The sequence below is a fragment of the Homo sapiens genome, chromosome 12 (assembly GCF_000001405.40).
Source record: "Homo sapiens chromosome 12, GRCh38.p14 Primary Assembly".
Taxonomy (NCBI): Eukaryota; Metazoa; Chordata; class Mammalia; order Primates; family Hominidae; genus Homo; species Homo sapiens.
The window spans coordinates 77093768-77107124 of NC_000012.12; the positions used below are offsets into that span (position 1 = coordinate 77093768).

The window sequence follows — 13357 nt, forward strand, 5'->3', positions numbered from 1 at the left end:
GTTTCTTAATCCTGAGTTCTAATTTGATTGCACTGTGGTTTGAGAGATTGTTGTGATTTCTATTCTTTTACATTTGCTGAGGAGTGCTTTACTTCCCACTATGTGGTCAATTTTGGAATAAGTGTGATGTGGTGCTAAGAAGAATGTATATTCTGTTGATTTGGGGTGGAGAGTTCTGTAGATATCTATTAGGTCCACTTGGTGCAGAACTGAGTTCAAGTCCTGGATATCCTTGTTAACCTTTTGTCTCGTTGATCTGTCTAATATTGACAGTGGGGTGTTAAAATCTCTCACTATTATTGTGTGGGATTCTAAGTCTCTTTGTAAGTCTCTAAGGACTTGCTTTATGAATCTGGGTGCTCCTGTATTGGGTGCATATATATTTAGCATAGTTAGCTCTTCTTGTTGAATTGATCCCTTTACCATTATGTAATGGCCTGCTTTGTCTCTTTTGATCTTTGTTGGTTTAAAGTCTGTTTTATCAGAGACTAGGATTGCAACTCCTGCTTTTTTTTGCTTTCCTTTTGCTTGGTAGATCTTCCTCCATCCCTTTATTTTGAGTCTATGTGTGTCTCTGCATGTGAGATGGGTCTCCTGAATACAGCACACTGATGGGTCTTGACTCTTTACCCAGTTTGCCAGTCTGTCTCTTTTAATTGGGGCATTTAGCCCATTTACATTTAAGATTAATATTTTTATATGTGAATTTGATCCTGTCATTATGATGTTAGCTGATTATTTTGCCTGGTAATGGATGCATTTTCTTCATAGCATCAATAGTTTTTACAATTTGGCATGCTTTTGCAGTGGCTGGTATCAGTTGTTTCTTTCCATGTTTAGTGCTTCCTTCAGGAGCTCTTGTAAGGCAGACCTGGTGGTGACAAAATCTCTCAGCATTTGCTTTTCTGTAAAGGATTTTATTTCTCCTTCACTTATGAAGCTTAGTTTGGCTGGATATGAAATTGTGGGTTGAAATTTCTTTTCTTTAAGAATGTTGAATATTGGCCCCCACTCTCTTCTGGCTTGTAGGGTTTCTGCCGAGAGATCTGCTGTTAGTCTGATGGGCTTCCCTTTGTGGGTAACTCAACCTTTCTCTCTGGCTGCCCTTAACATTTTTTCCTTCATTTCACCCTTGGTGAATCTGACAATTATGTGTCTTGGGGTTTCTCTTCTTGAGGAGTATCTTTGTGGTGTTCTCTGTATTTCCTGAATTTCAATGTTGGCCTGCCTTGCTAGGTTGGGGAAGTTCTCCTGGATAATATCCTGAAGAGTGTTTTTCAACTTGGTTCCATTCTCCCCATAAGTTTCAGGTACACCAATCAAATGTAGATTGGTCTTTTCACATAGTCCCATATTTCTTGGAGGCTTTATTCATTTCTTTTTACTCTTTTTTCTTTAACCTTGTCTTCTCACTTCATTTCATTAATTTGATCTTCAATCACTGATACCCTTTCTTCCACTTGATTGAATCAGACATTGAAGCTTGTGCATGTGTCATGAAGTTCTTGTGCCATGGTTTTCAGCTCCACCATGTCATTTAAGTTCTTCTCTACACGGGCTATTCGAGTTAGCCATTCGTCTAACCTCTTTTCAAGGTTTTTAGCTTCCTTGCAATGGGTTAGAACATGCTCCTTTAGCTCAGAGAAGTGTGTTACTACTGACCTTCTGAAGCCTACTTCTGTCAGCTCATCAAAGTCATTCTCCGTCCAGCTTTGCCCCATTGCTGGCAAGGAGCTGCGATCCTTTGGAAGAGAAGAGGAGTTCTGGTTTTTATAATTTTCAGCTCTTCTGCTCTGGTTTCTCCCCATCTTTGTGGTTTTATCTACCTTTAGTCTTTGATGTTGGTGACCTACAGATGGGGTTTTAGTGTAGATTTCCTTTTTGTTGATGTCGATGCTATTCCTTTCTGTTGTTAGTTTTCCTTCTAATAGTCAGGTCCCTCAGCTGCAGGTGTGTTGGAGTTTGCTGGAGGTCCACTCCAGACCCTGTTTGCCTAGGTATCACCAGCGGAGGCTGCAGAACAGCAAATATTGCTGCCTAATCCTTCCTCTGGAAGCTACTTCCTAGAGGGGCAGCCACCTATATGAGGTGTCTGTCAGCCCCTACTGGGAGGTGTCTCCCAGTTAGGCTACATGGGGGTCAGGGACCCACTTGAGGAGGCCGTATGTCTGTCCTCAGAGCTCAAACGCCATGCTGGGAGAAGCACTGCTCTCTTCAGGGCTGTCAGACAGGGACGTTTAAGTCTGCAGAAGTTTCTGCTGCCTTTTGTTCAGCTATGCCCTGCCCACAGAGGTGGAGTCTATAGAGGCAGTAGGCCTTGCTGAGCTGCGGTGGGCTCCGCCCAGTTTGAGCTTCCTGGCCACTTTTTTTTTACCTACTCGAGCCTCAGCAATGGCTGATGGCCCTCCCACTGCTAGGCTGCTGCCTCACAGGTCAATCTCAGACTAATGCACTAGCGGTGAGCAAGGCTCCGTGGGCATGGGACCCACTGAGCCAGGCACAGGAGAGAATGTCCTTGTCTGTCAGTTGCTAAGATCTTGGGAAAAGCACAGTATTTGGGTGAAAATGTCTTGTTTTTCCAGGTACAGTCTATCACGGCTTCCCTTGGCTAGCAAAGAGAAACCCCTTGACCCCTTGTGCTTCCCAGGTGAGGCAATGCCCCTCCCTGCTTCCGCTTGCCCTCCGTTGGCTGCACTCACTGTCAAACCAGTCCCAATGAGATGAACCAGGTACCTCAGTTGGAAATGCAGAAATCACCTGTCTTCTGTGTCAATCACGCTGGGAGCTGCAGACCGGAGCTACCCCTATTTGGCCATCTTGGAACAGCCAGAGTGCTCTTTTCTATTCACCAATTATTTGGTTAGCTTTGCTTTCTACATTCAAAATACAACTGTCCCCATTGTAAGGGAGACTCAAAATTTGCATAGTGTAACAAGACCATACTCAACATCCAGGATCTCTGGGTGATGTGTGATGGTCTTTTCATGAAGACAAAGTAATGCCTAATAGTCTCTATCAGGCGTGGGATGTGGTTGCTTTTCATCTGGAAACTTATGAATTAAAATGTTATCTGCCCTTCACATACTCAGTATACACAGGTGTTGGGCAACTCAATAAACACTTTTAGAGGAATAGGAAAAGAGCCTGTTTTTTGGATGTGGGAGTTATTCCTTGATCAAGTCCTGATTTGCATCTCTTGACCATTATTCTTCATTGTTCCTAGCTTCTATCTCTAAGAAATGCTTCCTTTTTTTGATTATTGTCTTCAGTGACATCTGCAATGAATATTGGGGACTATGGCTTTTATTGGGGCAATTGGCTTTATCAGTCTGTTTTCTGTCAATAGAAGATTGGAGTCTATGGTTGTCTTAAATATAGAATAGTTATAATCATTTTCAGTCCAAATTGTTGGTACTTTTGCCGTACAAATCACTTAAAGACATGGATTGCTTATTTCCTATTAGATTTCAGTAAGCTCCATGTGCCAATAGGTGTAGCCACAATTCTTTTCAGGACATAATTCTGATAATTGCTATATGCCTTGTTTACTTGATCTCATGCCAAATGATTTCTCACTGTACAGCATGGGTTTTCATCTTTTCATGATCTAGCATTGTTTTCTTCACCAACTATTTTCCATTTCTTAATACAATGCCAAATATTTTATTTTTTTAAAATGTAGTAACAGTCTATGCTATCACTTTCCTTATCCATTAGGATAGACTGGGTTATGCTGTGATAACAATCTACAAATTTTGGTGGTCTAAGACAGCAAAGATTTTTTTTCCCACTCACACTATGCTTATCACAGGTTGACTATGGGTTGTGTTCTATATTGTCCTCCCTCAGGGACATAGGTTGTTAGAGATGCTATTATCTTGAACATGCCTGTATTAGTCTGTTCTCATGCTGCTAATAAAAACATACCCAGAACTGGGTAATTTATAAAGGTAAGAGGCTTAATTGACTCACAGTTCCACATGGCTGGGGAGGCCTCACAATCATGGCAAAAGTCGAAGGGGAAGCAAGACATGGCTTACATGGAGGCAGGCGAGAGACAGCATGTGCAGGGGAACTGCCCTTTATAAAACTGTCAGATCTCATGAGACTTACTCACTTATGAGAACAGTGTGGGAAAAACCTGCCCCTATAATTCAATTACCTTCCACCAGGTCCCTCTCACAACACGTGGGGATTATTACAATTTGAGGTGAGATTTGGGTGCGGACCTAGAGCCAAACCATATCAATGCCAGCAGCCATGTCAGGGGAAAGAGAGTGTGGGAAGCACACAGGTGCTTCAAGCTTCTGTCTAGAAATGACCTATGTCACTTCCACTTACATTTATTGATGAACGCAAGTCATAGCTAATTTTAAGAGGTTGAGAAAATTAAATTCTACCATATGTCTGAAAGGACAGAGAAATAGAGTATCAGTGAACACATCCAATGGATAGCATACACACACACACACACACACACACACACACACACACACATCCCAACATTAATAACCTTTGTGGAATTTGTTGAAAATTTGTGGGGACCAAAAGAGGAATTATATCATATTGTATATAGAATTTTGCTAGAAAAATCCTCATCTGAAATTTCTCTTTTTCCTACTTCGTTTTCTATGGTGGTAATGCTTTGTTTTTCTCTTCTTCTTCCCTCATGCAGCCTCCAGCCTCACTGGCTCTACTCACTTTGTCCCTCTCAGTTTTTCTATTTGGGACTTAAAATTCCACACTCCTTCATCACAGGAAACAAGTTCCATTATCCTTGTTATTTGCACATCCCCTCAAGGTCTTATATACCACCCCAAGAGGCTTTTGAAGCATTTCTTCTGAATAAATATAGTGCTTTCTCTAATAAGAATTCTGGTGGATGCAATTTTCTCCATCTTATTACATTAATAATATATTAGCAAGTCAAATATAGCATTACCATGTAGGTTTTGTTTCAGATATGAAAGATGGTTTAGCATGGTTTCATTTCATATTTATGAAGATACATATCTTTATATTAATAGATTTAAAGAAACTACCTATGTGATCATCTAGATCTGCTCTGAACATACCCAGAACTGGGTAATTTGTAAAGGAAAGAGGCTTAATTGACTCACAGTTCCTCTGACTTCACAGCTGTGTCCAAAATGGTAGACACTAGCCATATGTGGCTCTTTCCATTGAAATTTGAATGGTTGAAATTAGGTTATTTAAAAAATTTCATTTCTCATTCCTATTAGCCACTTTTAAGTGCTCAGTAGCCACATGTGACTAGTAGTTACGGTACAAACACAGATAATGGGTGCTTCCATCATTGGGGAAAGTTCTATTGGATAGTTTTGCTATAAATCAATGCTGCAGAGTCATTTGATAAAAGTAATGGTCATTCCTGATAAAAAACTTATAGGCCGGGAACCATGGCTCATGCCTGTAATCCCCACACTTTGGGAGGCCGAAGCTGGAGGATCACGAGGTCAGGAGATTGAGACCAGCTTGGCTAACATGGTGAAACCCCGTCTCTACTAAAAATACAAAAAATTAGCCATGCATGGTGGCTGGCGCCTGTAGTCCCAGCTACTTGGGAGGCTGTGGCGAGAGAATCGCTTGAACCCGGGAGGTGGAGGTTGCGGTGAGCCAAGATTACGCCGCTGCACTCCAGCCTGGGTGAAAGAGCAAGGCTCCATCTCAAACAAACAAACAAACAAACAACAACAACAACAACAACCAACAAAAAACAAACAAACTTATAGTAAATTAGGGTTAGAAGGAAACTTTCTTGATATGAGAAACAGTATACATAAAAACCAATGGTAAATATAATAAGTAGTAAAATACAAGTGGCATTACATTATATTCAGGACAGAGGATGACCATTACTATCACAACTATGTCCATTAGAATTAGGTTTGGTTTTGATTAAAATAATTTTGTTTCTCCCTCTTTTCAAGAACACTGAAGAAAGGCAGTAAAGGGTGGCAAAGTGGGTCTAATCCATTGCCTATCCGGGGACCCAGATTCATTCTATCACTGCTAGGGTGTGGTCTTCATTCTCATATTTCAAGGAATAATTCAAGTTCAGCATATCCTTATTTAATTCAGAAGGGCGGGGAAAAATATGAGGACAAAGAACAAAGGAGGCCTAAGTCATATCTGCTGTTTTGTATATAATGCTTGTGGAAGTTACGGCATGATAGTTTTGCTGGCATTAGCCAGTAATTGGTCACATGGCCACACTTTGTTGCAAGGAATGTTGAAAAGTGTAGCTTTAATCTGATTAGCCATGTGCTTATCTAAAAACTAGGGTTTTCTATGAGTAAAGAATGGATACTAGGGAACAGCTAATACTTTCTGCCTTACTACCTTATTTAATATTGTTCTGGAAGTCTTAATCCAAACAATAAAATAGAAAAACAAAGAAGTACAAATATTGGAAAGAAACAGATGCAATTATGTTTCTTTTCAGAAGATATAATTAAATGTTCCAAAATCCAATTGAGTTAACTGAAAATCTATTAGAAACAAATAAGATAACTCAGTAAGATGTGGGAAATAAGATACAAAAATCAAGAGGTTTTCAATGATGTTTTAACCCATGAGAGACTAGAAATAGAATGAAAACATATGGAAATAAAAATGTAATTCCTATAGATAAATAAGAAATGACTGTAACTCATGTGATGAAAACTATAACATTTTATTGAAAGGCATAAAAAGAAAACTGAGGTAAATGAAGAATCATGGCAAGTTCCTGGATGGGATGATTTAGTGTTGTAAAGACATTAGTTCTCCCCAAATCTGTAAATTTCATATAATTCCACTCAAAATGTATTTTTTAAGTTGATAAGTTAATGGTGAAATTTATGTTAATGATTGACTGTGTTAGAACAGCAAGAAAACTGAAAATGAACAATGAAGGGTATGTGCCCTGGTAGATGTCAAAACGTACTATAAAACTATGGTAATTAAAAGTGTAACACCAAGGTGGGAGGATCACTTGAGCCCAGGAGTTCAAGACTAGCCTAGGCAACATATTGAGACCTTGTCTCAATTTTTTATTAAAAAAAGTGTGATAGCAGCTGAGAGATTGTTAAGGGGACAAACTAGAGTCCAGGACAAGGTATATGTGGCAGATGAGAGCAAGGTAGTGTGTGGTGGAGTGCACAGATTCTGGAACCACACTGTCAAGGTACAAAGCACAGCTTTGCCACTTAACGGTTTGTGACCCTGGACAAATTATTAAGCCCTCCGTATTTCAAATTTCTCATCTAAAAATTAGGGATAAAGTGGTCCAAACCATTTACAGTTGCTGTAGGGACAATAAATGTAAAGCATTTAGAACATTGCCTGGCCTGTTGTAAACACCGAAAAAGTGTTAGCTAATGTTAATGCTAGAATTTAATATATAATAAACATGACACTAAAATCAGTGCAGCATGAAGGTACTATATAATGCATAGTGTTGGGGCAATTGGCTTGCCATTTGGAGAGAAAGAAAGAAAAGAAGAGAAGAAAGGAAGAAAGAAGAAAGGAAAGAAAAAAAGGAAGAAAAAAGAAAGGAAGAAATTAGAACTCTGACTCACATTCATTATAAATTAAACAGTATAGATTAAATACTTAATTATAAAAATTATTATAAAAGTACTGGGAAGGTGAAGAAGAATATAAAAAGTATTCTCTGTGCGTGTAAAGTCTTTTCATATATTATTCCAATTTTTAGCGTGATACCAATGCAACAAGCCAGGAAAGAAAACATTGGCAGTTGTTACTTTCAATCAAAAAGGACATTGAGATAGGATGAAGGGTAGGGTGGTGGGGGTATGAGGCAGTAGTTAGGCAGATGAGAGACGGTGCATCAGAACAAGTTTGTTTAAAAGCAATAAATATCTTTTATGTCTTAATTTTTTTTATACACTGTGCCGCATATATGGTTTAGATTTTCATTTTGAAATGTGGCCCTTTGGTAGCAGAAAATGCCAATGAACATAATAGCTTTTACTTTTTAATTTTCAGGAATATTTACTTATGCAAGTAAGTGTTAAATGATTGCTTCTTCTTTGAACTGTGTATTCAGGAGATGCTTACAGCTTTAAAAATTAGATGATAATGATGGGGAAAACATAGCCATTATAAATCAAATGTGTAAGATAGCAATATTAGAGCACCTTGGCTGTTCCAGATTCTAAACTGGAAGTGGGTTGTTTCATGAAAGAAAGAGGACAATATCGTTTTTTACATCATAATTGTTTTTATAACGCACGTTTGTGTTGGAAATAACCATTGCAACTCTCCTTTTTTAGCTTTATAGTAAATGTTATACTTAGAAAATTACCTAAATATAAAAAATTATAGTAAAAAGGACACAGCTTGATATTGCATTGACTACACGCCATTCATTATGATGAGAGCTATAAAAATGTAGACTCTACAAGGTATAGTTTTTATGCAAAAATTGATATAGCAGGTTGAAGATGTATTTGGCAAATAGCTACTGACTTTTAAATTTAGAAACATTAAGATTTATTGTGTCAATCTGGCTGCCACCCATATTGTGCAATATTTAAAGCTCTGAATTAAAACTCTGTAAGATGAGCAAGTGATGATATACAACATAAAATCGTCATTATAGAAAAATCAGACCACTTGGGTTTTTTTTCCTCTCAAATGCCCAAGAGTTTAAATCCTATGTGAAACATTAATGGACTTCTATTTTCACTTAAAAATGCTCTCTGAGGATTATCAGAACATCAAAGTGACTGTAGCTACTAATAGGTATTTTCTTTAGCTGTGGAATGTGAAAAAAAGCTGATTTCTTTTTTTGAAATAAAAGTTGTAAGCAAGACCATTTTGTATATTTGATATCCTCTGGTTTATGAAAGGATCCAAACAAGTTCAGTCTCCCCGCCCCATCAGATGAGTTCTTCATATAATTCATTCCCTGTGAGTTCCAAAGGGAAAGAATTAGGTGTCCTGTGTTGCTAATTAGAGCTGCTAATGTATTAATGCACTTCTGAGAGCATTGCTTTCCTAAACTCTCACCCAGACAAATTAGACACTTACTAGTGATGTGATCATCTTATTCATCCCTCTCTTGCCTTCTTCCTCTTCCAAATAAATATGAAGTTTTGCAGAGTGAGTCACATCATGATAAGCATTGTGGCAGTTGTTACTGTTTTTGTATTGGGAGAAGCTTCCATTTCTTCAGCATATCAAATCTGCTTCTCAGGCTCAACACCCTTGAAGTGGCATCCAGGTATTTATTCAAAGGCTGTGTGCATTGCGGTAATCTCCACTTCTCAAAAAAAAAAAAAAAAAAAAAAAAGTGGGGGCGGGGCAATAAATGAGCATGAACTCTTCTCTTGTAAGTCACATCTCTAAGCTTTCTCCAAACAATAACCATCAGAATGGGCAATTAACCTCCCATCTTTTTGCCCTAATGAATTTCAGCTTTCTTCAGTGTGGGTGCACTATGAGGCAGCATGAGACTTTTCAATATTGCCATTAACTGTGGCCAATCGTGTCTCTTTCACTTTCAAGCAATGTCCCTTTCCCTTTTGGACTCTGCCTCCTGTCCATACTACCATCTAAACACTTTCTGACTGTCATTCAATCTAGGTCACTCCTTCTCATTTGTTGAGGGTGTTGGCATATGGATCACCATCTTCCAAGTCACGCCATTATCCTAATTGACTTTACTATCACCATGGATGATAAATTGAACACTTTACTCTCAGAGGATCTTGAATTTCCTATATTTCAGCTACCTATGTGGCTACCTGCTGGGTCCAATCAATACCACCTCTGAAATCTTTAACTCAGTCTTTGTCCCTAATTCAGTCACCCTAAACCCACTGCATTGCTTTATCTGCCTTTTCCGTTCTTTTATTCTATCCTCTTAATTCAGTTCTTCCCTGTGGTCTTAACAATTCTAGTCTCTTTTATGTAAAAATAACTTCTTCCCTGATCACAAGTGAGCCTCTAGCTGTCTCCTTGTGTCTTCCATTCACTTCTGCATCAAATGCCTCACAAGAATTATCTTTATTTTCTGCCTTGACTCATTCTGTGGGAGTCAGGCAACTGATTCCATCATGTCAATGAGATTGCCCTGGCCATCATCTCCTAACCATTCTCCAAGGGACTGTTTTCAGACTTCATTATAGTTCATCTCTCTGCAGCATTTGGCCTACAATCAACTTTTCTTCCCTGGTTTCTGTGGCACAATTCTGTCAGAATCCTCTCATGATTTCTTTTCAGTCTCCATTGCCAGTTCCTCTTCTTGTTCCCACCCTAAGATGTAAATAATCTATTCTTCTCTTCTTTTTGTAAGTGCTCAGCCTGGACATCTCATCTTCTCCTATGACTTCTATCTATAGGCTGAAAATCCATGAACTCAAAAGAGGTGAATAAATGAATAATTACTTTTAAAATAATACATCTTGTCTTAAGAAGATTTAAAATGGTTAAGAAGGGTACAAACATCTACTGAGTAGTACAAAATTAGTATGAGGTAAAAGAAAAAAAAATAAGGGTGAAGACAAAATATAACCCAAGTAGAGTGCAGCTAAATGTGAGTACTAAATTTGAAAATTCTAAGCTTTTGAGAAGCCAATGAGAAGAGGGTGACATCTCATCATGGTTACACATCCAATTGTCTAGAAATATAACCATTCTTGCTACTGAGATGAACAAAGGTTTCTCTCAGGGTGGGGTGAGGAGACCTCCACATGATATGAATCACATCCTCCATGCCATCCTTCCAGAAGATGCACTCATGAGTTCTCAGGGTCTGTATCTTATAAACATCTTCCATTTAGGATATAGATATGAATAAGATTAAATTTAGTTAAAGCAATTCAGTTATAGGCCAATATAACATGGTCTCTGTTCCTACGGGAATGTTGTAGAATATGTTTTTTATTTTACTTAACTTAGGATGTCTTGAAGTGATGACAGTTTTATTGTCTTGCAAGCAATTCTCCCTAAATATTCTTTAAAACAGCTTTTGATACTTCTTGAGGACATTGAGCATGAGATTCTACTCTGTGACAAGTATTTAATCTCATATACTTATATTTCTAGCTTTATTCTAAATATTTAGTAGTTATCTGTACCTTGATATCCCACAGATATTTCACTTTCCAAAACTGGATTCATTCTTTCTCTCCAAACCGATTTCTCCTAGTCCTCTGACAGGAAATGACATCATCATGCACTCAGTGTTACTGAGAAATCTTTTGCTTTAGTCATTTGTTTCCTCATTCCTCACAGCTAATCAATACCCAAGTCCTTCTGATATGGCCTCCTTATATCTTGAGTCTGTCCCTGCTTTCTAGCTCCACTGTGCCTGTTTTAGTTCATTCCGGACCTTATCCTTTCTTGCCTGAATCTACTGTTTCATTGTCTTAACCGGCTTCTTTGGTCAAAGCCTGTCCCTTCCTCCTCTGATCCAGTTACTATGTGGTTCACCTTTGTATCTCGTGTTTATCACAGTGGCCAGCACTTAGGCAAGAAAAGTATTTTTATCAGATGGATTCATGGATGAATGAACGACTGTACACACATGTGGGTCTTATGAGGGGCACTAATATAATGCTGCTTTGTAATACTAGAATTGTTCCTATGTGCATTCCTATGTTGTCAGGATTATGGCAAATAGTTGTGCATAGTGGTATGTAACAAGTGTTGTTTCCCAGATTTAGAGCCTTCTTTTTATTTTTCATGTGGTCAAACAACTGAGGAGAAGAACAGAAAACTCTCCTCTGACACTGTTGTTAGAAGAGACTTCAAGAGGCTGGGCATGGTGGCTCATGCCAGTAATCCCAGCACTTCCCGGAAGGCCAAGGTGGGAGGATCACCTGAGGCTGGGAGTTCAAGACCAGCCTGGCCAACATACAGAAACTCTGTCTCTACTAAAAATACAAAAATTGGCCATGCATGGCGGTGGGCACCTGTAGTCCCAGCTACTCAGGAGGCTGAGGCATGAGAATTGCTTGAGCCTGAAAGGTAGAGGTTGCAGTGAGCTAAGATTGTGCCACTGCACTCCAGCCTGGGTGACAGACTGAGATCCTGTCTCAAAAAACAAAAACATCTTCTTGTGGAAGCTTAATTACCTGTCCTAATTCCTCAGCCCTTACATCTCCTTGCACTAGACACACTCATTTACAAACTCTATACTTCTACTGTTTTTTAATATATATTTATATATGTATAAAAATATATATATTTTTTTATTATACTTTAAGTTCTAGGGTACATGTGCACAACGTGCAGGTTTGTTACATAGGTATACATGTGCCATGTTGGGACAGGGAATTAAGCTTCCACAAGAAGATTCATTCCTTTTCTTAAAATGTGTCATTCTATGATAAGGGGTTAATATCTAAAATATATAAAGAACTCAAACAACTTCATAGCAAGTAAACAAATAACCCAATTAAAAAATAAGCAAAGGACCTAAATAGATATTTCCTATGGGAAGAGATACAGCTGGCTAACAAGTACATTAAAAAATGTTCAACATCACTAATTATTAGGGAAATGCAAATTAAAACCACAACGAAATATCACCTTATACCTAGCTATAGATTAGCTATTATCGTAGATTAGTTATTATCATAAAGATAAAAGATAAGTATTAGCAAGGATGTAGAGAAAAGGGAACCCTGGTATACTGCTGTTGGGGATATATCATCTAGCCATTATGAAAAATAGTATGGAAGTTCCTCAAAAAATTAAAATAGAATTACCTATATGATCCAGTGATCCCACTATAGGGTATATATCCAAAGGAAAAGAATTCAGAATGACAAAGAGATATCTGCACTCCAACATTCACTGCAGCAGTATTCACCTTGGCTAAACATACAGAATCAACCTAAGTGTTCATTGACACATAAATGGAAATGGAAAAAGAAAATATGGTATATGTACACAACCAATATTATTGAGCCTTTAAAAAGATAAAAATCTCCTAATTTGTAACAACATGGATGAATCTTGAGGATATTATGTTAAGTAAAATAAGCCAGGCTCAGGAAGACAAATACTGCATGACCTCGCTTATGTATGAAATCTAAAAAACAACAAACTCATAGAAGGAGAGAGTAGAACGGTGGTTACCAGGAGCTGAGGTGGGGTAGTGGGGTGGGATTAGAGAGATGTTTGACCAAAGGGTACAAAATTTCAGTTAGATGGAACAGTAGGTTCAAGAAATCCATTGTACAATATAATGACTACAGTTAATAACAATGTATTTTATACTTGAAAATTGCAAGGAGAGATTTTAATTGTTCTCACAACAAAAAAATAAGTATTTGAGGTAATACATATGTTAGCTTGAGTCCACTATTCTAGTGTA

At 38.1% G+C, this 13357-nt stretch overlaps 1 annotated feature.

The window, feature by feature from the left end:
• Nucleotides 8962–9256: an enhancer, noted in NCBI's record as "tiled region #14502; K562 Activating non-DNase unmatched - State 9:DNaseU". NCBI's record gives its function as "activates a minimal TATA promoter and a strong SV40 promoter by Sharpr-MPRA in K562 cells {active_cell/tissue: K562}" and the evidence as "EXISTENCE:reporter gene assay evidence [ECO:0000049][PMID:27701403]".